At 44.8% G+C, this 27,501-nt stretch overlaps 3 protein-coding genes and 1 long non-coding RNA gene across 6 annotated transcripts in view, besides 3 other annotated features; 2 read left to right on the top strand and 2 right to left on the bottom strand.

The window, feature by feature from the left end:
- LAP3 (leucine aminopeptidase 3) overlaps positions 1-788 on the top strand; it is a 30,773-nt gene extending 29,985 nt beyond the window's left edge. Inside the window, exon 13 of the mRNA NM_015907.3 lies at positions 218-788. Within this exon, the coding sequence (NP_056991.2) occupies positions 218-407 (190 nt within the window). The 3' untranslated portion in view covers positions 408-788. The remainder of the gene's footprint in view (positions 1-217) is intronic.
- Positions 1-7,398, bottom strand: part of MED28-DT (MED28 divergent transcript) — a 28,339-nt gene extending 20,941 nt beyond the window's left edge. For both annotated transcript variants that reach the window (NR_186331.1, NR_186330.1), the window contains exons 1-2: positions 6,960-7,398; positions 6,750-6,856 (exon numbers count right to left, since the gene is read on the bottom strand). This is a non-coding gene — a long non-coding RNA (MED28 divergent transcript). The remainder of the gene's footprint in view (positions 1-6,749; positions 6,857-6,959) is intronic.
- Positions 6,804-8,003: an enhancer, noted in NCBI's record as "BRD4-independent group 4 enhancer chr4:17615609-17616808 (GRCh37/hg19 assembly coordinates)". NCBI's record gives its function as "activates an origin of replication core promoter dependent on BRD2, P300/CBP, MED14 and CDK7 cofactors, and independent of BRD4, by STARR-seq in HCT116 cells {active_cell/tissue: HCT116}" and the evidence as "EXISTENCE:reporter gene assay evidence [ECO:0000049][PMID:35650434]".
- Positions 7,109-7,398: an enhancer, noted in NCBI's record as "active region_21352". NCBI's record gives its function as "activates an Ori minimal core promoter by ATAC-STARR-seq in GM12878 lymphoblastoid cells {active_cell/tissue: GM12878}" and the evidence as "EXISTENCE:reporter gene assay evidence [ECO:0000049][PMID:35858748]".
- MED28 (mediator complex subunit 28) lies at positions 7,459-26,923 on the top strand. The gene is made up of 4 exons (NM_025205.5): positions 7,459-7,631; positions 12,719-12,785; positions 14,405-14,517; positions 16,419-26,923. The coding sequence occupies exons 1-4, from the start codon at positions 7,473-7,475 to the stop codon at positions 16,614-16,616; spliced, it is 537 nt and encodes a 178-aa protein (NP_079481.2). The 5' UTR covers positions 7,459-7,472; the 3' UTR covers positions 16,617-26,923.
- Positions 7,499-7,608: an enhancer, noted in NCBI's record as "active region_21353". NCBI's record gives its function as "activates an Ori minimal core promoter by ATAC-STARR-seq in GM12878 lymphoblastoid cells {active_cell/tissue: GM12878}" and the evidence as "EXISTENCE:reporter gene assay evidence [ECO:0000049][PMID:35858748]".
- FAM184B (family with sequence similarity 184 member B) overlaps positions 22,124-27,501 on the bottom strand; it is a 152,316-nt gene continuing 146,938 nt past the window's right edge. Inside the window, exons 17-18 of one of the 2 annotated variants that reach the window (NM_015688.2) lie at positions 26,507-26,706; positions 22,124-25,443 (exon numbers count right to left, since the gene is read on the bottom strand). In NM_015688.2, the coding sequence (NP_056503.1) occupies positions 25,350-25,443; positions 26,507-26,706 (294 nt within the window). In that variant the 3' untranslated portion in view covers positions 22,124-25,349. Of the gene's footprint in view, positions 26,707-27,501 lie in introns of both variants that reach the window. The other variant, XM_047450066.1, reaches the window with a different exon arrangement.

Raw genomic sequence — 27,501 nt, forward strand, 5'->3', positions numbered from 1 at the left:
TTCATTACCATAGCAAAAAGGAATATAGAATTTATCCTTTACTGCTTAAAGCAATATCTGAAAATAAATATTCTGAAACTGATATGTGGGTTAGCATCTTAATAGGTCTTACAAGCTTGACTCTTGTTCTTTGGTTATAGAATGTACTTAGCAAAAATGTGGGATCTCAGTGCACATTTACATGGGGTTGTAAAGTGCTTTTTGTCTTTCTCTTCAGATCTGCAGGAGCATGTACAGCTGCAGCATTCCTGAAAGAATTCGTAACTCATCCTAAGTGGGCACATTTAGACATAGCAGGCGTGATGACCAACAAAGATGAAGTTCCCTATCTACGGAAAGGCATGACTGGGAGGCCCACAAGGACTCTCATTGAGTTCTTACTTCGTTTCAGTCAAGACAATGCTTAGTTCAGATACTCAAAAATGTCTTCACTCTGTCTTAAATTGGACAGTTGAACTTAAAAGGTTTTTGAATAAATGGATGAAAATCTTTTAACGGAGACAAAGGATGGTATTTAAAAATGTAGAACACAATGAAATTTGTATGCCTTGATTTTTTTTTCATTTCACACAAAGATTTATAAAGGTAAAGTTAATATCTTACTTGATAAGGATTTTTAAGATACTCTATAAATGATTAAAATTTTTAGAACTTCCTAATCACTTTTCAGAGTATATGTTTTTCATTGAGAAGCAAAATTGTAACTCAGATTTGTGATGCTAGGAACATGAGCAAACTGAAAATTACTATGCACTTGTCAGAAACAATAAATGCAACTTGTTGTGCTCTCTGGTGTGGCTCTGATATTTACTTACATATTGCTACAAACCCAGTAACTTATTACTAGAATATCATTCGTCTCTGTAGCCATGTTGTATGAACTATGTAATTAAATTGGGGCACAGTGGCTTATGTATTTTCTCAATGTTCCTCATCACTTAAAGGTACTCAGGGATTGAGCTCATCAGTTTGGGTAATAGTGGCTTGGCCCATGATTTCCAAAATGAATCAGTCAGAATAATAGTAACCATTGTTGACTTACCATCTGCCAGGCACTGTCCTCAGTGTTTTCAGGTGTTAAATTATTGAGTCCTACCCAATGAGACAGGTACTGTTATTACCCTCATATGACGGATGAGGGAAACGAGGCACAAGAGAAGTTTAGTAACATGCCACTGATGTCACAGAGCAAGTAACTGGTAGCTCAAAGTTCAAGCCAGGTGGTCTGGCTGCTGCACTGGTACACTGCAGTGCTCTTTTTCAGTTCAGTGACTTGAATGGATGTAGAATTTATTTGAAGTACTGAAGTAAGAAACATGACCACAGGCCAAGCACAGTGGCTCATGCCTGTAATCCCAGCATTCCGAGAGGCCAAGGCAGTAGGATTGCTTGAGGCCAGGAGTTTGAGACCAGTTTGGGCAACATAGTTAGACCCTTGTCTCTATTTTCTTAAATTTTAAAAAGAATTCAAGCCAGCAACAGTGTGCTGAAAAAAGAAACGATCATAAAAGGGACTGTCAGCTGAGCCCAGCTACTGGGGAGGCTGACGTGGGAAGATTGCTTGAGTCTGGAGGTCAAGTCTGCAGTGAGCCCCCTGATCATGCCACAGCACTCTACCCTGGGTGAAAGAGCAAGAACCTGTCTCAGGCCAGGCACGGTGGCTCACACCTGTAATCCCACCACTTTGGGAAGCCAAGGCAGGCGGATCACAAGGTCAGGAGTTTGAGACCAGCCTGGCCAATATGGTGAAACCCCGTCACTACTAAAAATACAAAAAAAATTAGCCAGGCGTGGTGGCGCATGCCTGTAATCCCAGCTACTTGGGAGGCTGAGGCAGGAGAATTGCTTGAACCCAGGAGGCGGACGTTGCAGTGAGCCAAGATCGTACCACTGCACTCCAGCCTGGGCGACAGAGCTAGACTCAGTCTCAAAAAAAACAAAAAGCAGGTGGCGGGGGGGACAGCAGATGCAATGGCTCATGCCTGTAATCTCAGCACTTTGGGAGACATTGTGGGAGGACAACTTGGAGCCCAGGAGTTTGAGACTAGCCTGGGCAACATAGTGAGACCCTGTCTCTATAAAAAATTTTTTAAGGCTGGGTGCAGTGGCTCACGCCTGTAATCCCAGCACTTTGGGAGGCCGAGGCAGGTGGATCACCTGAGGTCAGGAGATCGAGACCATCCTGGCCAACATGGTGAAACCCCGTCTCTACTAAAAATACAAAAATTAGCTGGGCATGGTGGTGTATGCCTGTAATCCCAGCTACTTGAGAGGCTGAGGCAGGAGAATCACTGGAGGTGGAGGTTGCAGTGAGCGAAGATCATGCCACGGCACTCCAGCCTGGCAACAGCGAGACTCCGTCTCAAAAATAAATAAATAAAATTTTAAATAAGCTGGGTGTTGTGGTGGTGCACCGGTAGTCCCAGCTACTCAGAAGGCTGGGGCAGGATTGCTTGAGCCCAGGAGTTTGAGGCTGCAGTGAGCTATGAGTGAGCTATGAGCCACTGCACTCTAGCTGGGGCAACAAACCAAGACCCCATCTCCTAAAAAAAAAAAAAACGGGGACTGTCAACGGGTAAAACTGTTTGCTCACCTCCTGAAACTATAACCAATCAACATAATTCCATTGGTGCAGACTTAGAACAAAGCTCTCCTCGTTTTTACTTTTGTATCCGATGAATCAAATTAATCCATCAATGGGATGTGTGCCCTTTTTTTAACTTTGAAAATGTTTAACAGGAAAAGCTCTTTGTTACTGTTAATTTTAACATTTAAGAAATTTGACATGCAAAAATATTGTATATCTAAACTGGTTTACAGAGGGAATGGAAATGGGCATGCTTGTTTGTGGTATTTATTAGAATTAAAACCCGGTGAGTGTAGTGAGCAAACACAGGTTTCCCTGGTTATTCATGTTCAGAAGTCACTTCATCAGGAAAGATGGAATTAGAGGGTTGGAATTACAGGCTTATGAAGAAAACTGAAAACAGATTTATTCTGGGTGATACAGAGCCTCAGTCGGGCTTTGATAGAAGGATTCTGTCAAAGGCTTTTTATGGATAAAGGAACAGTGGAACTCCTGTGTTTACTAGTGTGTGGTATACAAAAAGCATAGCACAGGCCCTGGTTTCATGTGGCTTACCTAATCTGGTTGAGATGAAATTTTTTTTTTTGAGACAATCTCATTCTCTCACCCAGGCTGGAGTGCAGTAGCACGATCTCAACTGACTGCAACCTCTGCCTCCCAGGTTCAAGCGATTCTCATGCCTCAGCCTCCCAGGTAGCTAGGACTACAGGTGCACACCACCACGCCCAGCTAGTTTCTGTATTTTTAGTAGAGATGGGTTTTGCCATGTTGCCCAGGCTGGTCTCGAACTCCTGGCCTCAAGTGATCCACCTGTATAGGCCTCCCAAAGTGCTGGGATTACAGATGTGAGCCACCGTGCCTGGCTGAGATGAAATTTAATAGTTGTCACTGAATGTACATCTAGCTGCCAGGAACTTCACGAACCCTGTGTCTCCTAAAAATACAAAAACTAGCTGGGTGTGGTGGCATGTGCCTGTAGTCCCAGCTACTTGGGAGGCTGAGGCAGGAGAAATCACTTGAACCCGGGAGGCAGAGGTTGTAGTGAGCCAACATTGCACCACTGCACTCCAAAACCAACCTGGGTGACAGGGCGTGATTCCCTCTCAAAACAAAAAAAGGTACATTCAAATCATACTAACATTCCATTCCCAACCAGTTGGTTGTTAAACAAATCATGTTTATTTGACCCAAGTCTCACCACCGCTGTCTCAACTGCCCTGGTACAAGTCACCATCCTCTCTGCACTCCTAGATTACTCTCTTTCACTGGTCTCCCTGCCTTCTCCACTTGTTCTCCTGTTATCTGTATGACTAGAAAGATTATTTTAAAACATAAATCAGGCCGGGCCCAGTGGCTCATGCCTGTATTCTCAGAATTTTGGGAGGCCAAGGTGGGAGGATCACTTGAGGCCAGGAGCTCAAGATTAGCCTGGGCAACATAGTGAGACCTTATCTCTAAAAATTAAAAATAGGAGTTACATCGTGTCACTCCTTAGCAACTTAGTTTATGCAAGGCACAGTATTAAACCTCTACATAGATTATCTTGTTCTTAGTAATTTTTCTAAGGCAGTGTTCTCTCATCTTATAAATGAAGTGATGGGTTTTCAGCAAAATCCAAAAAATGTTAGTGCTTTTTTGTGCAGTACTCTAGGAGGACTGCAAGAGAAATACCACTGACCATGTTCGCAGGAAATTTACAATGAGGTTAGGTAAACTGGATATTAATGAGACTTGAAAGGCTGGGCACGGTGGCTCACTCCTATAATTCCAGCACTTTGGGAGGCCGAGGTAGGTGGACTGCTTGAGCCCAGGAGTTCAAGACCAGCCTGGGCAACATGGCAAGACCCCATCTCTACAAAAAATTAGCCAGGTGTGTTGGCACATGCCTGTAGTTCCAGCTACTTGGGAGGCTGATTGGGAGAATTGCTGGAGCCTGGGAGGCGGAAGTTATGGTGAGCTGTAATTGTGAAACTGCACTGCAGCCTGGGCAACAGAGTAAGACCCTGTCTCAAAAAAAATATATATATATAGAGAGAGATTTGCAAAAAAGTAAAATGATGCCATACTTTTTACTTATTCCTTATTTTAGAAAATAGAGTATTAGTTTTAATAAAGATTGTTTTTGTTAACATTTAATGAATTATTTTTTAATGAATTGATTTTTAAAATTCTGTTTTTGTTTTTTTTGAGACGGAGTCTTGCTCTCAACCAGGCTGCAGTGTAGTGGCATGATCTCGGCTCACTGCAAGCTCTGCCTCCTGGGTTCACCCCATTCTCCGGCCTCAGCCTCCCAAGTAACTGGGACTACAGGCGCCCGCCACAACGCCTGGCTAATTTTTTGTATTTTTAGTAGAGATGGGGTTTCACCATGTTAGCCAGGATGGTCTTGATCTCCTGACCTTGTGATCCGGCTGCCTCGGCCTCCCAAAGTGCTGGGATTACAGGCATGAGCCACTGCCTCCAGCCTAAAATTCTCAGTTTTAACTTATCAGATAAATATTAGCAGACTTAACCCACATAAACAAAAACTTTGGGATCCTCAATAATTTTTAGGAGTGTAAAGGGGTCTTGAGACCAAAACTGTCTGAAAACTGCTGGAGTAGGCTTGTTTCCTCCTGGCGGTCTCTTCTGGTTCTTTCAGTCATCACATATTTATTATATCTATTATGCCAGGCACCATTCTAGATTCTGGGGATACAGGTGAATAAGATGGGCAGGCTCTGATGCACGGAACTTATTTTCTAGTTGGCATGTGTATGACAGAGAGAGAAGGAGGAGGAGGGCAGGTGATTCAGTTATGAAAAAATGAACAAGATAATTTCAGATTACATAAATGTTGTGAAGAAAATTAAACAGGGGAAAGTACTTAGGAGTGGGGATCTAAGTGAAACTGAGGCTGGGAAGATGACTTGATCCGAGCCTGGTTGGCAAAGGGAAGCTCCTGCTTTTTCTCTGAACATTTCTGCCCTGGCTCACTCCTCTGGCAATGAGCTTCCTGTGGTTCCTTAAACATCCCAGGCAGGCTGCTTCTTCAGGGATCCTTCGGTGTAGAAAGCACTCCTAGTTAAATTTTCATGCCAGTCACTACAGTCCAGATCTCCTTGGAGAGGCCTCCTCCAATCACCTATCTCAAAGAACACCCCTCTCACTAGCCATCCCCTTACTGGGTTTCATTTTCCTTCCCAGCTCTTCTCTCTGCACAATATTGCTATGTATTTATGTGCTTGTCTGTCTCCTTCCAGAGATTTGGGATGATTGCTATAACCTCCAGATCATTAAATAGTGCCTGGGAAGTGGAGCGCTCAGTAAGTGTGCTGGGTAATAACTGTAAAATCAGATATAATGAAAAAAAGTTATTTGGTTTTAAAGAGATAAATAAGAAGGTTGGGCACGGTGGCTCACGCCTGTAATCCTAGCACTTTGGAAGACCGAGGCGGGCGGATTGTCTGAGCTCAGGAGTTCGAGACCAGCCTGGGCAACAAGGTGAAACCCCGGCGCTACTAAAATACAGAAAAACTAGCCGAGCGGCGGGCGCCTGTAGTCCCAGCTACTCGGAAGGCTGAGGCAGGAGAATTGCTTGAACCCAGGAGGCGGAGGTTTCAGTGAGCCGAGATCGCGCCACTGCATTCCAGCCTGGGCGACAGAGCGAGACTCCGTCACCAAAAAAAAAGAGAGAGATAAGCAAATGTTAAAAGCAGGTTACTACAAGATTAGCAGCCTAGTGCCGGGCGCGGTGGCTCACGCCTGTAATCTCAGCACTTTGGGAGGCCGAGTCGGGCGGATCACGAGGTTAGGAGATCGAGACCATCCTGGCTAACACGGTGAAACCCCATCTCTACCAAATATACAAAAAATTAGCTGGGCGTGGTGGCGGGCGCCTGTAGTCCCAGCTACTCGGGATGCTGAGGCAGGAGAATGGCGTGAACCCGGGAGGCGGAGCTTGCAGTGAGCCAAGATCGCGCCACTGCACTCCAGCCTGGGCGACAAAGCGAGACTCTGTCTCAAAAAAAAAAAATTAGCAGCCTGGCGCCTTGGCTCATTACTGTATTCCCAACACTTTGGGAGGCCGCGGCGGTAGAATCACTTGAGCTCAGTAAAACACCTGACTCAACTAAAAAAAAAAAAAAAAAAAAAAAAAAAAGCCCGTCGCGACTGCACGCACCTGTGGTCCTAGCTACTTGGGTGGCTGAAGTAGGGGGATTGTTTGAGCCCGGGAGGTCGAGCCCTGATCATGACACTGCACTCCGGCCAGGGCGACAGAACGAGACCCTGAGAAAAAAGAAAAGAAAGAAAAAAAAAGATTAGCATAGTGACTTTCTCTTTGATGTAACCATAAATATTTAAAGACATCAGTGCCGGGCACATTGGGAACCTCAACAAAGTTGTTTCCGTTATCCATCTCCGACCAGAATTCAGGAAGAACTTTGCCTGTCTTGTTCCCGCTATAACCAATGACTCAACAAATGTTTGTGGAGTGAGTGGGTGACCCTCTCCTTTTACCAACGGTAAACAGCCCGCGGAAAGAAAAAGTGACTTAGCCAAAGTCTCTCCAGGCATTTGGGGCAGAGTCGGGACTAGCATAGTAGTATCCTGACTCTCGCAGGAGGGCTCGCTCCACTGTAGTTATTAATTCTCCTCTCCACACAACCAGGTCTAATCCGGCCAAAGTCTTCAATTCTTAAGCTAAGAAAAAAGGAAAATACATGTAAACTCTGTTTTGCGATAGACAAGAAAACAGAAGAATTAAAAATCCTCCTTCCGGGGTGCACCAGAATCCTCCCATCGCTCGGTCCTGTCACGTGACCACGCCTACTACACCAGCCACGTGAGCTTCTGAGCCGGCTTCCGCGCAGGCGCAGTGGATCTCTCTTGCGCCATTCCAAACATGGCGGCTCCACTAGGGGGTATGTTTTCTGGGCAGCCACCCGGTCCCCCTCAGGCCCCGCCGGGCCTTCCGGGCCAAGCTTCGCTTCTTCAGGCAGCTCCAGGCGCTCCTAGACCTTCCAGCAGTACTTTGGTGGACGAGTTGGAGTCATCTTTCGAGGTAATATAAGACATGGGCGTCTTTGTCCCTAGCCTTCCCTTTTTTCTGAAACGTGAACTGCGCGTACGCGTATCTCCTCCAGGGATCCGAGCAACTAATTCACAAATGGGGAAACTGAGGCTTAAAGTAAGTCACTTGCTTTAGGCTTCCCCGTGGCCCGTATTCAATTCAGGTCTGCTGGCGGGGGCGCGTAAACTCGACGTTTGTGGAAACGTGAACCCGAAGTTTGCCTAAACCCCAAACTTGGAACCCTTCCAGATTCCCAGCCGGTCCTTAGTCTCATCCCCGAGCACCGTTTCTTGCATCCCTGCATGTTTAGTAAGAGGCTCAAGCCTTTTCGGAGCTGAGAGTTTCACTGCTGTATCCTGTATCCTTTCCGCTGGGCTTCACCTTTAAACGATCCTAAAGGGACTCTTAAGAGCGGAAATTGACTTAAGTTACCAGGCGCAGCTTGGTACTAAGAGCTGAGGAAGGAGGAATGCTGGAGGTTAGGGAGGGAGGGAGGCACAGGTGACCCAATCTCTCAGTTTTGCCCAAGGAGTTTACCTTGTAGCAAGAAAGGTGAACTGTATATTGAGGGAAGATAGAGAGGTGAAAATAAGTGCTCTGGTGATTTCCAGTAGTCTTTAAAGTGGAAGATGAGCTATTCCTGTGTAGTAATAAAGTAATGTACGTTCAAATTGGAGTTAACTTTTCCACATTTTAAATCCCAGTTTTGCCGGGCGCGGTGGCTCACGCCTGTAATCCCAGCACTTTGGGAGGCCGAGGCTGGCGGATCATGAGGTCAGGAGTTCGAGACCAGCCTGACCAACATGGTGAAACCCTGACTCTACTAAAAATACAAAAATTAGCCAGGCGTGGTGGCGTGCGCCTGTAATCCCAGGTACTCGAGAGGCTGAGGCAGGAGAATCGCTTGAACCTGGGATGCGGAGGTTGCAGTGAGCGGAGACCGCGCCATTGCACTCCAGCGTGGGTGACAAGAGCTCGACTCCGTCTCAAAAAAGTAAAATAAAATATAAATAAATAAAAATCCCAACTTTGTGACTTTTGTATTGTATCTAATAGCACAGTGGTAAATGAATATAATTTGCAAGCGATTATTCAGACTGCATGGACAAAATGCTTTTACCACACGGATGTACAAAGATTTAGAAATAAATGATTTGAGATGGAGTCTCACTCTCTCGCCCAGGCTGGAGTACAGTGGCGCAATTTCGGCTTACTGCAACCTCCGCCTCCCGGGTTCAAGCGATTTTCCTGCCTCAGCCTCCCGAGTTGCTGGGATTACAGGCACCTGCCACCATGCTATTTTTTTTATTTTTTAGTAGAGACAGGGCTTCACTATCTTGGCCAGGCTGGTCTCGAACTCCTGACCTCGTGATCCACCCGCCTCGGCCTCCCAAAGTGCTGGGATTACAGGCGTGAGCCACTGCGCCTAGCCAGAAATAAATGATTTAAAGGACAGACCGTTTAGGAGGAGGAGGAGGAGACACCTTTGAGGTGGTGCTAAGTGGTAAAGGAAGGGGCTGGTGAACTTTAGAGCAGCATCTAGCATTGTGCTTGAGGGGAGCTGGCTCTCAGTCATGGGCACTTGCTGAAAGACTGGCCCTGTACAAGTCTTAGCCAAAGTTGACTCCCAGCACCCTGCTGCTTAAAAACGTACAGTGGCTGCTTGTTGCCCTTGAGATAAGATCAAGATGTTTAGTGTGGTCTCCCAGGCTTTGCATGTTGCGTTCTCTCCTTCAGACTCGTTTCCTTACTGCAGCCACACAAGACTTTCCCACGTGTACCATTTGTTTTCTCTTTGGGCTTCCAGGCCGCTCCTCAGCTCACTGCATCACTTCCTCAGTGGACCCTTCCCTGGCCTTCTTTTTAATACTTACCATTAAATTCGGCTCCATGAAGTCAGAGACTACCTGTTTTGTACCCCCACCCCTCACATTGTGTAACCTGTAGTGCTAATACAGTGGTAGTAGATAGCAAGTGCTAGATGAATATTTGTCAGACATTGAAGGAATCTGTAGTGTGGAGCCTGTAGTGTAGTTGGCTTGTGCACAGAACTCCTTGCCTGATTCACATATATGTCTGTAGGTGCCCTTGAGAGAGAACTCCCTCTGGGACTTGATTATCCATACAGAGAATACAGAGAAAACCAGTCCCTGCCTTCAGGAAGCTTGTAATAAACGGCAGGCAGTTGCCTTGTTGTAGGATCACTGCTCTGATAGAAGAAACCTGGGGTACTGTGGGAGCACATATAGGTGTGGACATCAAAGAAGGCTTCCCAGAGAGCAGGAAAGCCAAAGAAGCATTTTGACTTAGCCAGGTGAAGGGGAGTGGGAGTGGTGCGAGCTGGATCCTCTCTGCTGCTGGGTGATCACGATCTGTCTAGTCTTGTCTCACGATTCAATTCAAAGGCCACATTTTCTTTGGAACTTTTCCTGTTTCCTTCCTTGTGTTCTGTGTGGACCTCAATTTTCACAGCCTCCAGTGGCACATAGCAGCACCTACTTACCTGCTTCTCATTCCTATTGGGGTGCCACTCCTTGAGGTCTCTGTCTGCTCATTCTAGCTGCTTAGCACATGCTCTTTGATGGAAGGAATTTATTGAGCTCATGCACTCTTGATTTTGGAGGGAACGTTGGAGACCATCTAGTTCCATTTCCTCCATTCATAGGTAGAGAAACTGAGGCTCAGTGAGGGCAAGTTACTTGCTGAAAGCCAGCCGTTGGGTTTGTGGAAATGAGGACAAGCACTTACTTTCCAGGCAAAGGCTCTGTTTTAGCCATGCTTTTAAAAAGCTGTTCTCTTTCTAGGCAGATGCGGTGGCTCACGCCTGTAATCCCAGCACTTTGGGAGGCCAAGGTGGCTGGATCACTTGAGGTCACGAGTTCGAGACCATCCTGGGCAACATGGTGAAACCCCATCTCTAACTAAAAATACAAAAATTAGTGGTCTCTGGTGGCACACGCCTTAATCCCAGCTACTTGGGAGGCTGAGGCAGGAGAATCGCTGAAACCCGGGAGGCAGAGGTTGCATTGAGCCAAGATCGTGCCACTGACTCTAGCCTGGGCAATAGAGTGAGACTCCATCTCAAAAAAAAAATATATGTTCTCTTTCTAAGCTACCACACATTTTCTTCTTAATACAGCTGTCCAACTGTCTATAAAGGCCTGTGTATCTTTTTTTTTTCTTTTCTTTTCTTTTTTTTTTTTTTTTGAGACAGAGTCTCACTCTGTCACCCAGGCCAGAGTGCAATGGCACGATGTTGGGTCACTGCAACCTCCACTTCCTGGGCTCAAGTGGTCCTCTTGCCTCAGCCTTCCAAGTGGCTGGGACTACAGGTGCGCACCACTACGCCTGACTAATTTTTGTTTTTGTAGAGACAGGGTTTCACCACGTTGCCCATGCTGGTCTTGAACTCCTGGACTGAAGTGATCCACCCATCTTGGCCTCCAAAATTGTTGCTTACAGGCGTCAGCCACCATGTCGGACCCTAAATTTTTTTCTTGAGTGGGTGGAGGGCAGTAAAATTCTTGAGATGAGATTTCCTGCCACCCTGTCTGGTAGGCCTCCTGGCTCAGGGGAGCTGGCCCAACTTTTTTGGCCAGTTTGTGACTGGTTGGCCTATTAATGGGATGTTTTCCAGTAGCCATAGGTCTCACAAAGGAAGTACATCCTACCCACATCCCAAACCCAACAAGAGTCAACTTTCGTTTTTTTTGAGACAGATTCTCGCCCTGTCACCCAGGCTGGAGTGCAGTGGTGCAGTCTTGGCTCACTGCAACCTCTGCCTCCCAGGTTCAAGCAATTCTCCTGCCTCAGCCTCCCGAGTAGCTGGGACTACAGGCACGTGCCACCATGCCCAGCTAATTTTTTGTATTTTTATTAGAGATGGGGCTTCACCGTGTTAGTTAGGATGGTGACTTCGTGGATCTGCCTTCCTAGTTAGGATCCTGACTTCGTGATCTGCCTGCGTGGGCCTCCCAAAAGTGTTGGGATTACAGGCGTGAGCCACCGTGCCCAGCCAGGAGTCAATGTTCAAAGTAATCCTGAGAATGGGCAATCTGTTTTTCTGATTTACTTTCTCTGTAAATCAAGCGCGGGAGCTGCAGGCAGGCAGAATTTTTGCTCGTTAAAGGGCCCTCACATGTAGGTAATGTTCTAAATTTGAGCTCAGATCTGTCTGCCTCACACCAAGTGTAGTTTGCTGATTGCTGACAGAGCTCCACTTTCCTGTGTTTGAGGCTTCTTTTCTAACTCCTTTTCCAACTGCCATGCTGTTCTCTTTCTGTGCCTCCCCAATCTCCCTGCCCACTTCCTGCAGTGGGCCTGCTTTGGTACATTTCCTTAGAGTTGCTTGTGCACAGAGCTCCTTGGCTGATTCACATTTGCATCTGTATAGGTGCCCTTTAGAGATAACTCTCTCTGGGACTTGATTATCCATGTGATACCAACCTTGTCCTCTTAGGCCATCCAGTCAGTAATATGTGTTATTAAACACTTCCCTTGTGCCAAGGCAGTGTTCCAGGCACTAGGAGGACAGTGGTGAATAAGACAGACAAAATTCTCATCTACTAGTAGGGGACAGATAATAATGGATGAAAATAATGGATATGATGTCAGTTAATTATGTGAAAAACAATAAAACTGTGCTTGGGTGTGGAGCATGAGCAGGAGGGGCACAGTTTAGAAAGGGTAGACCGGCTGCTGTCTCTGAGGGGGAGAAGATTGTCCTGAGTCCTGAATGGGTGGTGATGTGAGTTGTGTAAGCACCAGCAAGAGGCCACAGTGGGGCTGGAAGAGTGTCTGGGCCTGGTGTGGAATAAGATACAGGGAAGGGGCATGTAGTAGGACAGAGACCAGATGTGGTGCCGGCTCGTTTGCCTGGCGCTTCCTCCATGGGCCTAATTAATTGGTAAACTCAGTTTACCAGATGTTTCCATTGGCATGGTGTCTTGCCATCTCATATGCAAACACAGATGCTGCCACCTCATCAGATGACTTCAGGAGAAGTTATTTCTTCCTCTGGAGTAAGATTTTTGATGTATAAATGATATTTTTTTCTTTCCTATGTTTTGATTACACAGGCTTGCTTTGCATCTCTGGTGAGTCAGGACTATGTCAATGGCACCGATCAGGAAGAAATTCGAACCGGTAAGCATTCCCTCTGTGTACACAATGTTCTGGGCTTCAGCAGTATTTCCTAGTTGCTAATTTTATACTTCATGTGTTTCAGTCCTGCTTTTATCCTAAGACAACATTTCAGGGACTAAAATGTGTGCACATAATCTCTATGAGCTGCTGATTTTTGGTTCAGTTTATTAATTGACATATCACCCATAACGAATCATTTATAATGAACTTTTCGTATTCGTACTAGGTAAAGAAGAAGACCAATAGTGTGTACTGCTTTTTAAAAAAATTTTATTATTTTTGGAATAGGTCTTACAGAGAAAAGTCTCTTGTGCTTCTTTTTATTCCCCAAGTTCTGTCCCTAAAGGTAACCAGAGCTTCTGATTTCTTCGTACCATATTTTACATGTTTTTTTTTTTTTTTGATGGAGTTTCACTCTTGTCGCCCAGGCTGGAGTGCTCACTGCAACCACCACCTCATGGGTTCAGGCAGTTCTCTTGTCTCAGCCTCCCGCGTAGATGGAACTACAGGCATGCACTACCATACTCAGCTAATTTTATATTTTTAGTAGAGACGGGGTTTCGCCATGTTGGCCAGGCTGGTGTCGAACTCCTGATCTCTGGTGATCCATCTGTCTCAGCCTCCCAAAGTATCGGGATTACAGGCGTGAGCCACCGTGCCCGGCCTTATATGTGCCATTTTAACTGTAAATTATGATGCTGATTGCTGGATCTCTGCATTGTCTCTTTTTTTTTTTTTTTTTTTTTGGAGACAGAGTTCTTGCTCTCTCACCCTTTTAAGAAAGGAGTGCAGTGGCATGATCTCTGCTCACTGCAACCTCTGCCTCCTGGGCTGAAGCAGTCCTCCCATTTCAGCCCCCCAGTAGCTGGGACCACAGTGTGAGCCACCACATTTGGCTAATTTTTGTTTTTTTATTTTTTTGTGGAGATGGGATCTTGCTGTATTGCCCAGGCTGGTCTTGAACTCCTAGGCTCAAGCAGTCTTACTGCCTCAGCCTCCCAAAGTGCTGGGATTACAGGCGTGAGCCACCACGCTTGGCCTCTGCCTTGTGTTTTTTTTTTTTTTTGAGACGGAGTCTCACTCTGTCACCAGTCTGGAGTGCAGTGGCGCGATCTCGGCTCACTGCAACCTCTCACTCCCTGGTTCAAGCGATCCTTCTGCCTCAGCCTCTTGAGTAGCTGGATTACAGGCATGTTCCACCACGCCCAGCTAATTTTTGTATTTTTAGTAGAGATGGGGTTTCACCATGTTGGCCAGGGTGGTCTCAATCTCCTAACCTCATGATTCGCCCACCTCGGCCTCCCAGAGTGCTGAGATTACAGGCTTGAGCCACCATGCCCAGCTGCATTGTCTTTTTAAAGAAGATCTCATGGCTTTTATGCTATATTAATATCTCTCTCTTTTTTTTTTTAACCTGAGAAAAGCATAACTTATCTGCTGTTTAATGTTGGTTAACACATGAGAAGTTGGGGGTTATGATTACTGCTGTGGCCAAGATTAAAATCCCTGAGTTGTCTATGAGAGGGCTTTGTTTTTACATTCTGATTATTCATTTATGAGGGAGATAAATGAGTCTGTTGTTTTTCTTATTTTAATAATTTTGTTCCTTTTTTTTTAAGGTGTTGATCAGTGTATCCAGAAGTTTCTGGATATTGCAAGACAGACAGAATGTTTTTTCTTACAAAAAAGATTGCAGTTATCTGTCCAGAAACCAGAGCAAGTTATCAAAGAGGTATGAACTCAGTTTTCTCCTCAGCTCTATAGGAAGAACTAAGTGGTGCCAGGATTCCTTTTATGCTTTAAATGAGATGTAACCGTTTCCTGCGAGTTTCATTCAGGCTTTATAGGTCAGTGTGAAATGTGGCTAGTCATCCATGTTTGGGACAACCTGAACAAGAAGTAAAGCCAAGGAGTGGGGTCCGAAAGCAGAGTGTCAGACGGAACAGCTCTGATGTGACTTGTGTCATACATTGGCCTTCAGGAAAGATTTTTCTTAAAAGATTCTGCCATGTGAAAAAAGGACAAAAAGCCACTAACATATAGGCTTGTTTTGGACAAAAACTGAGATCTGTGTCCCCACTTGCCTTACCCAGTGCCTTGCACACAGGAATCCAAGGAATCAAAAAGTAGTGTTCGACCCAGGTTCCTGGAAACTCAGGATTTCGTTGATCTCAGTTGTTCTAAGCTAGGGCATTTGGAAGTGTGTTGGGGTTGCCACGATGACTTGGGAAGCTTTAATGGCATTGAATGGGTTGGGCCAGGACCTGCCCCATGTGATGTGGAAGAGTGAAGAATCATCCTGCCCAAAAAGCCGGCAATGCCCTCAGTGAGAAACACTGAATTGAGATTATTGGTTGGGGGCAATTTTTGAAGTAACTAGTCCCAATTAATCAAAAAGTCTCTTTTCATTCATGATACCAGCTGTTGGGGATAGCTATTCTTACAGTTTATCATGTCAGATCATTTCCTGATGTGAATACTTGAATAACAGTGCAGGTATGTCCAAGACTGGATGGTTAGTAAAGGATGTAATGCTGTTCTTAAAAAGCTCTTGAAAATGTAATTTTAACAGTTCATAATCTGAAGTGATAGATCAGTGGTGTGGATTTTCTTGTAAACAGTTGTTAACAAATGTTTCAGATTTTCAGTGTTTTAGGTTCTCAGCAGTAGCCTTTGGAGAGAGGTACTGGATGGCTGGGGACCAGGATGGGATAGAGTCTGTAATTAGTCTGTTTTCACCCTGCTCATAAAGACATATCTGAGACTGGGCAGTTCACAAAAGAAAAAGGTTTGATGGACTTACAGTTCCATGTGGCTGGGGAGGCCTCACAATCATGGCAGAAGGTGAAAGACACATCTCACATGGTGGCAGACAAGAGAAGAGAGCTTGTGCAAGGAAACTCCCATTTTTAAAACCATCAGATCTCGTGAGATTTATTCACTACCAGGAGAACAGCATGGGAAAGACTTGCCCCCGTGATTCAATTACCTCTCACCAGGTTCCTCCCTCGACACATGGGAATTGTAGGAGTTACAATTCAAGATGAGATTGGGTGGGGACACAGCCAAACCATATCAATCTGATTTCTTTTTGGCTGCCCTTTTGAATTTTGTAACTTGCATATTACTTTCTATAAGAAAAATAAACGTAGGCCGGGTGTGGTGGCTCACGCCTGTAATCCTAGCACTTTGGGAGGCTGAAGCAGGTGGATAACTTGAGGTCAGGAGTTCGAGATTAGCCTAGCCAACATGGCAAAACCGCATCTCTACTAAAAATATAAAAATTAGCTGGGTGTGGTGGCGTGTGCCTGTGATCCCAGCTACTCAGGAGGTTGAGGCAGGAGAATCACTTGAACCCGGGAGGTGGAGGCTGCACTGAGCCGAGACCGCACCACTGCACTCTAGCCTAAGTGACAGCAAGACTTCGTCTCAAAAAAAAAAAAAAAAAGCCCATAAAAACTTATGTTAGAATCTGTCATCTGGGTTAATCAAATAGTGGAGCCAAGCAGAGTAATGGGCTTAATATGGTTTAATGGATTCTCTTTGTTTTGAATTGTTAGCCTCTTAACTAACCAGAACCGTATGTGTTTTTCCTGCATTTGCTCTGACTTAGTCCATGACTTTCATCTGCAGGATGTGTCAGAACTAAGGAATGAATTACAGCGGAAAGATGCACTAGTCCAGAAGCACTTGACAAAGCTGAGGCATTGGCAGCAGGTGCTGGAGGACATCAACGTGCAGCACAAAAAGCCCGCCGACATCCCTCAGGGCTCCTTGGCCTACCTGGAGCAGGCATCTGCCAACATCCCTGCACCTCTGAAGCCAACGTGAGCAAAGGGCAGAGGCAGTTGGCCTATGAGTGGGCTGATGCGTGAGGTTGGCCACACATTCCTTCCTGTGGACTTGACATTTTGGAAGAACTCTTTGCCAGATAATGAGTTCATTTTAGTTTTATGCTCCCATTGAAAAATTTTCCACTATTTTTATAAGCTGTTAATTTCTTGAGTACTTTATAACATGTCTGTAGCTTGGATAAACCAAGTAAGTATTTTTTTTTTGTCTTTAGCAAAGTTTAGACTGTGAATATGATGACACAGATTCTTTTTTATGGTGGCTTTGCTTGTTTTAAATTTTTGCATGACTTTTCATCTTTTTATGTGTGTTTCCTGTAGTTTGATCCGAAGGAAAAGAGTATAGTAGCCTGAGAATCAGGAGATGGGAGTTTTAGTCGTAGGCCTTATGATAATTACCCCGCGGTGGTGTGTAGAAAAGTATGTAAATTTGCTCTGTTTTAAGACTTTGAACTACCTCAAGAAGAGGAATCTAATACAATATTTGTAATGTTTCCAGAGCTCTCAGAATGAGGATTTTTTTGTAAATAGGTCAGAAGACGATGGAACTGTCCTGGGTTAGTATAGTAATCTTACAGTAGGATCCTTAGGTTGATGCTGACTTCTGTTTGGGGTATGTTTATATTTTATGTGGTGTTTACTTTTTTTTTTTGACATAGAAGGATATAGTGGGAGCAGTGATACGCTAACATTCATTACATTCTGCAGTAATGAATCTGTTTAATGGGTCAGTCACTGTTTTCAGTAGCATGACAGTGGGGTCATAGGTGAGCTGTGAGGGGCTAAATCTTGCTCTGATTGTCTCTTTCTGTTTTGAGTTTTGTTTGCGTGTATCATTTTTGTTCTACATTTTGGGAGGGGAAACATTTTCCGTTAAGGAAGGTTGTTGCCAGTGGATTTGACTCCAAGGGACTAGAGTGTCGTGGTGGGGGTGGGGAGGGGCTGCAGGGTGATCATTGGCTACTGAGCCTCCACAGAGAGCATGTGGTGCCCTGCCTTTGGGAGGGTATTTTGCTCTCGTTAGTTTTGTGGGCAGCCTCAGATTCCCTGTTGAGTTGCTGTTAAGAAATGGAGATTTCTGGCTCTCATTGGGTAAGGTTTTCTGAGTTTTATATCTTATTAGATCACATCCCTTTACCCAGAACAAATGCTTCACTGTCTTCTGATTGGCAGTACTCCTGTGGCTTTGTGCCTTGACTCATTTTGTTGTCTTCAGCCTTGAAGGCCCCTTCCCACATGGACTGACATCCACTCATGTGCCTGATCCCTGAAGCCTCCCAGCACCCATTCAGTTGCATCCCCAGGGCACAGGACTTTGATCTCTTCTGTTGCCCTCGCTAGGTTCTCCCTGGTGGGTTAGTGCTTTGTATCTGTCTCTCTGCCCCTCACTAATTCTACACCCATGAGAATTAGACATTATTCTCCTTAAATATATAAGGACCATATAATCTGTATCTTTTTGGTGTGTGTATATGGTATCTGGCACATGGATCTCTGATTACCAGCCTGACATCAACAAATCCCCTCAGTTACAACGTATAGGTTAAACAAAGCTTTTAAAAGCTCATGTGGTATGACCTCAAGGTTGCTAACCTGGTCACTCATGGTAATTAGAAACTCTGATTGGCAGCTTTGTATTTCTTGACTAAAAACCTAAATAAACTGATTAGGTTTTAGGCGTTCTTTCAAAGAGGTTCTTGAGAAGATTGAGAACTATCCTATTTGGTGCTTAGTGAAAAGATTTTGAATTACTGTACGTACCAGTTGTTGCCATTTCTTTATTAAATTCAGAAGTTTTTTTGCCAAATAACAATTTTTCAATCTTCTCTGTTTGTAGACATCTTACTGGGTGATGAATAATCCTCTAAGAAACCCTCTGAGCTGCTAACTTTTTCAGGGAGAAAATCACAAGCCATCTTCTCAAGTTCCCCTAGAAACCTGTGGAATGCCCTCTGCCAAGCACTGCTCTGGTACTGGGGAGTGGAGTATTATGTCTTGGAAGAGACTCCTGCTGTGATTGTCCAGGGGTACGTTCTGGTCTGGCTTGGTGCTTGACCTTAGGTCTGCCCACAGGCTTCAGGCTTTCAACTTTGAAACAAACATCTGTGCCACACACATTTTGTAAATGATCCCATTCAGTCTTCTAGAAGCCTTATAACAGAATCAATATTGTTTTTCCCATTTTCACAGATGGATAATAAATCTGTAAAATAGGGATAAGACTAGGACCTATTCCCCAGGATTACTTCTGCAGATTAAAGGAGATGTTGAGGCCAGGTGCAGTGGCTCACGCCTGTAATCCCAGCACTTTGGGGGGCTGAGGCAGGAGAATCGCTTGAACCTGGGAGGCAGAGGTTGTGATGAGCCAAGATCGTGCCATTGCACTCCATCCTGGGCTACAAGAGTGAAACTCCGTCTCAAAAAAGAAAAAGGAGATGTTGAATGGGAAGTCAGCAAGGGTGCTAGAATGTAGCAAGTATTCTTCAGGTGTTAGTGATTTCTGTTGTTCGGGAAGAGGAGGGTTATGGAGGAAGAGTATGGGATTTAGGTGGGTTAAGTGATTTGCCCAAAGTCAAGAGGTTAGTCTTTAACCTTTGGCAGAAGCAGGATTTGAAGTGAGTTTTCACACCCCTCTTCCCTGGTCAGTGTGTTGATAACAGCCCACCCACCTGTGGTTCCAGGGTGTTCTTAAGAAGCCAAGGTTGTCTTGGGTGTGGTAGCTCTTTGAAAGGTAGAAAGTTCCACCAAGAAGGCCTTTTTTCTTGAATACTGCTTAGCTTCCTTGTCAGGCTCCAAGATGCAGATTGCCTGTGGGCTATCTCTCTCCACAGATAAACCTACTCACATCTTCAGGACAGCCTTTTTTTTTTGAGACAGGAGTCTTGCTCTGTTGCCCAGGCTGTAGTGCAGTGGCACAACGGGGTCCCACAGGCAAGTGCTGGGGAAAGGCCCACCCAGCCATCAGGTAGCCTGTGTGTTCTACAAACAGCAGCTGGCAGCACTGTCTCCTGCCGGACATTCCTGCCACCCGACATCAAAGCTGGTGGGTGACCTTTTCAGCCATTTGACATTCCTCCCAGAAGAACCTCTGCCTCCCAGAGGTTTAAGCAGTTCTCCTGCCTCAGCCTCCCAAGTAGCTGGGCTATTTTTTTTTTTTTTTTTTTGAGATGGAGTCTTGCTCTGTCGCCCGGTTAGAGTGCAGTGGTGCAATCTCGGCTCACTGCAACCTCTGCCTCCCGGGTTCAAGTAATTTTCCTACGTCAGCCTCCCGAGTAGCTGTCAGGTGCACACCACTACACCCAGATAATTTTGTATTTTTAGTAGAGATGGGGTTTCACCATGTTGGTCAGGATGGTCTCAATCTGACCTCGTGATCCGCCTGCCTCTGCCTCCCAAAGGGCTGGGATTACAGGCATGAGCCACCGCGCCCAGCCTTAATTTTTGTATTTTTAATGGAGATGGGGTTTTGCCATGTTGGCCAGGCTGGTCTTGAACTCCTGACCTCAAGTGATCTGTCCGCCTCAGCCTCCCAAAGTACTGAGATTACAGGCATGAGCCACCGTGCCCAGCCCATCTTCATCTTCTTTACTTGAACTTAATTCTTTTTCATGCATCTTCCCTTCTTTCCTCTTTTCTCCTCCACCCAAATGTCTTAACTGTTAACATTCCCAGGTGTTTGGTCCTGGGCCTCTGGAGGTTGTGAAGGAGCACTGCTCAGTCCTCCCTTCAAGAAAGCAGCTTCAAGGAGTTCAATTACAAAAGCTCCTGGCATTGGGGACCTGCCGCCATGTTCCTGCCCAGGGCATGCTGGTCCTGGCTGTCACCAAGCACAGTGGAGGTCAGGTGCTAGGCCATTTCTGCCCGACACAGGCCTCCTCTAATGAGCAGTCTGAGGCCAGGCACAGGAGGCTGAGGCAGGAGAATCGCTTGAACCCAGGAGGTGGACGTTGCAGTGAGCCGAGATCGAGCCACTGCACTCCAGCCTGGGTGACAGAGTAAGACTTCGTCTCAAAAAATAAAAAATAAAAAAATACTGAGCAGTCTGCTTGGGCGCTTCCATCAGCCTGGCCATGACATCTTTGGAGCTGTCCTGCCCTCTTTTGCCCCGGTGTTCCTTGGCCCACCTGTCAGACCTACATCATAGGCTCTTCCTGTCTTCTGTTTCCTCTCCCCTTTCTCTAACATAGGTGTTTCTCCTGAGAAAGAAAAAAACCACCTGTCCCTGACATTCAGAAGCTGACAACACTGTTCGGTCATGCCATTCTCCTGTTGGACATAAACAGTCTCTGAATGCCAACCCCAAAGTTGCTCTCAGGCCATGATAAAATAAACCACTTAATAATTTTGTCTAAGCACGTACAAAGAAAATTCAAGGTCAGTTTACCACTCACAAAATACCAAACATCCTTCTGCTGGTTAAAACGAGTGACAGCTGCCGTGTGTGTGTGTGTGTGTGTGTGTGTGTGTGTGTGTATGTGTATATGCGTATATATGTGTATGTATGTGTGTATATATATATGTGTGTGTGTATATATATATATGCAATTATACCTTTATCCCTACTCTAGTCCACCTTCCTATAAATAAGATGTATTGAGATGCTCAGTGCCCCCATTCTGACAGCATCCAATCGAGTGAATCCTCACTTCCTTGAAATCACCCAACCAGGGCCAGAATCCTAAAAGAGGTTCTTTGTGACACCCTCTGTCTGAGAAGTCCTATGGTTCTCTGTGATGAATAGACCCAACTTGTTCAAATACAGGCATTTCTGGTGGGCTTTGGCTGAAGGCATTCACACCCCCCAGTGAATGTCTTGCACTTCTAATTGTGTCTCGGGGCATGCCTGGTGGAGGACCTGACTGAGACAATTGTGACTGGATGTGGTCTGAGAGCAGGCAGTAGGATGAGGCTTGGGGACTGGCTCACTCACTGCCCAACTGGTAGCAAAACCCATCTGGAGCAGCGTGTGAGGTATGGACACTCACTCACACGAGGGGGTGGCCCAGTTGCTGAGGATTCCACCAGTGGTACCCTGGGAAAATATCCCTGTGGAGGGGAATGGGAGGAGTCAAACTGTGGAAGATAAGAGGAGTACTGCACACAAGGACAGTAGAGTGTCTGTTCCCTGCAGAGGGATAGTGAGGAACTGATGAGGTGACTGTGAGTGCCCGGGGCCTCTGTCGTTATCTTGGAGGATCACTTTGAGGTCAGGAGTTCATGACCAGCCTGGCCAACATGGTGAAACCCTGTCTCTACTAAAAATACATTAATTAGCATGGTGGCGGGTGCCTGTAGTCCCAGCTACTCGGGAGGCTGAGGCAGGAGAATCGCTTGAACCCGGGAGGCCGAGGTTGCAGTGAGCTGAGATGGCGCCACTGCACCCCAGCTTGGGTGACAGAGCAAGACTCCGTCTCAAAAACAAACACACAGTACTGCATCCTGGGGGTGGAGGTGAGGTGACGGTAGAGATCAGTGCTACCCTTGGAAATCTGACAGATACAGTAAGATGGTCCCTATCATAGTTCCATTTAATTTGCCAGCCTCATCTGCAGAATCCAGATGGATCCTGGAGAAAAATTAACCAAGTAGCCTCAATCACAAATGTTGGGTTGGATATTACATCAGTGTTAGAGCAGTTAAGGGCTCAGGTATGTGGTGTGCAGCCATTGACTGGGTGAATCCATTTTTACCTACCCCAATTACAAAACAGTTTGCTTTCATGTGGAACAGATAGTATTCCTTTCAGTTTTGCTGCAGGAACATATTAACTCTTCCACCCCTGTCATAATACAGCCTGAAGAGATTTACCATTAAATACTGTTTTTTTCTCTCTCTTAACTTAATCCCGAATTGGATAATTTCTCTTCATCTTCACTGTCACCTCTACGCCATCACTGTCATCTCTAGACCGCTCTGCTGTTGAGAGATTGATGGAATCATTATGCAAACTAAAATAGAATGTTTTATCTATCAAATTGTATTTCTTTGTCAATAGTGTTAGGGCACAGTAGGTTCATTTACTGCTGGTAAGGGTGTAAATTGTTAGAAACTTTCTGAATGGCAGTTTGGTAATAACAAACAAAAAGCTTAAGTTTGTGTCCTTAAATGCCTTACTTCAATACCCAAGGCATATGGCCTCAATAAAAAATTATGGAAGCATGCAAAGATTTTGTTAACAAAGATATAATCATTGCAGGGTAGAATTTAGAAATTTAAGACTGAAAGATCTTTTCAGTCACCTGCAGCAAGAAAGGAGTCAAAACCTATGTACGATCTCAACTAGTAAAATTTTCTCCTTGCCCAGGGATCATGCTGAGTTTAAGGACAGAAATGCAAAGTGCAGCCTGGGAAAGTGTTTCAACACACAAAAATAGAACCACCTGTATGTAGTCTTTTTGAAAGCACAAAATAAAGAGCAGTCCTACAGGGTTCACTGCTATGTCCTGAATGTTGATGTCCCTTCCAAAATTCATATGTTGGAACCTAATGTCAATGTAATAGTATTAAGAGGTGGGGCTTTTGGGAAGCAATGGAGTCATGAGGGCTTCACCCTCATGAGTAGGATAAGTACCCTTACAAAAGAGGCTCAGGGAGGCGCTCTTGCCTCTTCCACCATGTAAGGACACGTAGCAGGCACCCATTTCTGAAGAATGGGCCCTCCCCAGACTCCATATCTGCTGGTGCCTTGATCTTGGACTTAGCCTCTAGGACTGTGAGTGACATATTTCTATTGTTTATAAATTATCCAGTATAAGTAAGATATTTTGTTAGAGCAGCCTGAACGAACTAAGACACTCTAAGCGGGAAACTCACAAAAAATATTTGGTAGTGAAAAACAGTATGGTGTGTTAATGTATGGTGACAAGTGTTTGTTTGCATTTAAAAATGCATTGGAGCCTCGTTTTGATTAGGCAGTAAATTTACCTTTAATACGTAAGTTTGACAGTTATATGTAATCAGCTTTTTTTTTTTTAAGATGGTGTGATTGAGGTTAATGTGAACTGAACTTTCTATTTCTAAGCTGTCTTCATCTAATTTTACCTTTCTGTGGAAAATCAATACAAGTCAACCATTTTTATTGCCCAGTTATTCAAAGTTTTATTCAAAGAGCAAAGATTTGACAATGCATAGAATTAACATTGGTTTGTGGGCCACCTTCTGGGCCAGCACCAAAGACTGAAAAAATATTTTGCCCCCTAAAAGTTGTTATTGAGTCTTGTCAAATCACATTGCTCTGTCAGAAGGTAAGACAAATCAGTGTGGACTGAGAGCAAGGTCAGCACCGTGAACAGCCATTGCGGTTCCTTTAACCCACTGGGAATTCATGCAGTGAAGAAGCAACACACCATGAGGCAAATGGCTCAAACCCAAAGACCAGAGGTTCAGGGGATATATATATATATTTTTTTAATCTGTAGAGATGGGATCTCACTATCTTGCCCAGGCTGGTCTCGAACTCTTGGGCTCATGCTGTCCTACCTCAGACTTCCAAGTAGCTGGGTTTTCTTTGGGCTAATTATTTTTTTGTAGAGATGGAGGTCTCGCTGTGTTGCCCAGGCTGGTCTCAAATTCCTGGCCTCAAGCTCTCCTCCCATCTCAGCCTCCCAAAGTGTTGGGATTACAGGCATGAGCCATGTGCCCAGTCTAGAAGATCTTTGACTTCAAAGAACAGATAATCTAGAGACCTTCACAAGTGATCATGTTGGCACTATGGTCATTACACTGAGACCTATAACTGGGCTAGGATTGGTTATTTACAGAAAAACCTTGTGGTACTTAATTCCAATTCATGTTAATTTATGTTATCTTGCTTAATCCTTGCAAAGCCCTTTTAGAGGTGGGTGTTATCCCATCTATAATCTGCTGCTTGTCTTAGACCAAGGAAGTGAAAGTATTCAGTCCAAGCATGCTACCATCCATTTCTGGTAGGTTTGGTTTGTTTTTAGTTGGCTTTCCTGTTTAACTGTTATTTGTCTTCCTATTGAGGTTAGATGTGCATTTTGGAATTGCATCATTTTACATAGAAACAGCTTTCCAGTGGAGTTGACTAGCATCCTAAGGACAAGTACAACCACTTTTGAAATAGATCATGGAAATCACAAAGTCTGATGTTCCACAAAATGGAGTATGATGTTATGGACACTAGAAATACAAGGTATGGGTCATTAGTAACGCTAATAACATTTTCCTATAGATGACTTTTAATAACACTGGTTTAATGTCAATTTTTTTTTTTTTTTTTTTTTTTTTTTTTTTTTTTTTTTTTTTTGGAGACAGGGTCTCCCTCTGTCACCCAGGCTGGTTGGAATGCAGGAGTTCGAACTTGGCTCACTGCAACCTCTGCCTCCTAGGTTCAAGTGATCCTCCCGCCTCAGTCCCCCAAGTACCTGGGACCACAGGCACACGCCACCATGCCTGGCTAATTTTTGTATATTTTGTAGAGATGGGGTTTCACCATATTGGCCAGGCTGGTCTCAAATTCCTGGACTCAAGCAGTCCATCTGCCTCAGCCTCCCAAAGTGATGGGATTACAGGCGTGAGCTGCTGTGCCTGGCAGAACAGTATGAAGTGTTAACGCCAAAATTTGTTTTAGCTATCATATATAAATCATAAGCATATTATTTGGTTGGTTGGTGTTAGTTCATTCCTTCAATCGGATGATTTAAAATAAATGTTTTTCAAGTATCCTCTGTGATGTATCCCAAAGGTTAGCTTAGAAAGAAAAGTACTTGGTGAACCATTCCTGGTGCGGAGAGCCCTGTTTCTGCTGGACTTCTTTGGCTTGGGCCGTTTCACCATCTGGGGTCCTAAAAGCAAAAAAAGGTTTTTTTATATGGTTTTGAAAACTATGCAAGAAGCAGCTTAATACCCACCATCTTTTCAGGGAAAGATAACTGCTTGTTTACTCTTCAAAAACACCCAAATGGGACTGGCCAACATTAGTAGTGGGAAACAAATTGTAAAGGATGGGGCTGGGGAGGGAGTACCTAATCCTCATTTGGAAAACAGAAGGTTCACCATTGTTTGGTTCTCCATTGTTCCTTTGAGACTTAGTGGTTGTAGCTCTAATAATGCAGGATTAACCAAACCTACAGATCAAGAGACTTTGTTTTTATTTTTTGTGACAGAGTCTCCCTCTGTCACCCAGGCTGGAGTGCAGTGGCATGATCTCGGCTCACTGCAACCTCCAGCCTCCTGCGTTCAAGCGATCATTGTGCCTCAGCCTCCCGGGGAGCTGGAATTACAGGCGCATACCACCACACCTGGCTAATTTTTGTATTTTTTGTAGAGATGGGTTTCACCATGTTGCCCAGGCTGGTCTCGAACTCCTGACCTTAGGTGATCCACCCACCTCCATCTCCCAAAGTGCTGGGATTACAGGCGTGAGCCACCAAGCCCGGCCCGATTAAGAGACTTTAGAATTCCAAGGTGATAGAGTAAATCTTGAGGAATAATGTTAGTAATAATACTGAAACTATATTGAAGATTTTTGTGCCAAGTCCTGTGCTAAGCACATCCTATGGATTAATTCCTTTAGTCTCACGTCAGTCTGATGAGATAGGTGCTGTATTATCTTAATTTTAAAGGCAAGGTATATGGAGACCTGGAGAGGTCAAGTGACCTGTCCAAGGCCACAGAGCTAAGAATGAGGAAGACTGTAATTTGAATTCAGACCTCCAGGCCAGATGGAGTCCACCTTTTGTATAACCCATGCTGAAGTTTTCAGGTAAGTGATTCAGTGTCCCTTGTCTAATCATCCATGAAAAAAGGCCTTCTGGAATTTGGTACCAGGTGCTAGAAAGAATCCTACTTCCCCTCTTATCTACAGGGAAATAGAATAAGGGCCCCTGTCCCCAACATCCCCCAAACCTTGTGGCAGTTTTTGCATCTGTAGACTGGTTGGGTTTGTAGGTCCGGCCACAGCTGGGGCTTGGGTCCAAGCTGGGTGATGTAGTTATTGGAGGGGCATTAATCCTGGAACTCAGATCGCCACTCAGAAAGTTCTTTGCATAGGAGGCGAGGTTCGGCACGCTGACCACGCGGCTGGGCACGTCCTCCACCTTCTTTTTCTGTTTGTATTAATGGACAGGTTAGTGCAATGCAATGCAAAAAACAAAATAAAGCATTATTGTAAAAGCAAATAATGCTCACCCAATCAAAATTGTATCGGAGAAGAAGCAACAATTTCATTTATACACTTACATGCTATTTTTTAAAGCACTTTTCCCTCCAATCTTCATTTTGTATTATAAATAAATATGTATGTTCACAACCTCTTAACCAAAACTTCTGGAGATGGATGTGTTTTGCAACTCAATTTTGTTTAAGATTTTAGAAGGTCATGTAACACCCCCAGCAGGGGATGGGCCCACCCTAGCCTCAAATGCATTTATTTAAATTTCTGGAGTGAAACTTGTATTTTGTCACAATGAGGGATACATAAAAACTACACGAGATGACATTAGTTAAGTCACAAGTGTATTGTCCTGTGAACTATTTTTAAAAATACTATTTTTGTTTTTAAGATGTAGCCTTGCTCTGTCACCCAAGCTGGAGTACGGTGGTGCGATCTCAGCTCACTGCAACCTCCGCCTCCTGGGTTCAAGTGATTCTCCTACCTCGGCCTCCTGAGTAGCTGGGATTACAGGCATCTGCCACCAAGCCCAGCTAATTTTTGTATTTTTAATAGAGTTGGAGTTTCACCACGTTGGCCAGGCTGGTCTTGAAATCCTGACCTCAAGTGATCCACCCACCTCGGCCTCCCAAAGTGCTGGGATTACAGGTGTGAGCCATTGCACCCAGCCAAAAATACTATTTTTTAAGAGCCTTTAGGATTTTGTGATAGTAGATAATTGAATGTGAAT

This window comes from Homo sapiens, chromosome 4 (genome assembly GCF_000001405.40).
Source record: "Homo sapiens chromosome 4, GRCh38.p14 Primary Assembly".
Lineage (NCBI taxonomy): Eukaryota > Metazoa > Chordata > Mammalia > Primates > Hominidae > Homo > Homo sapiens.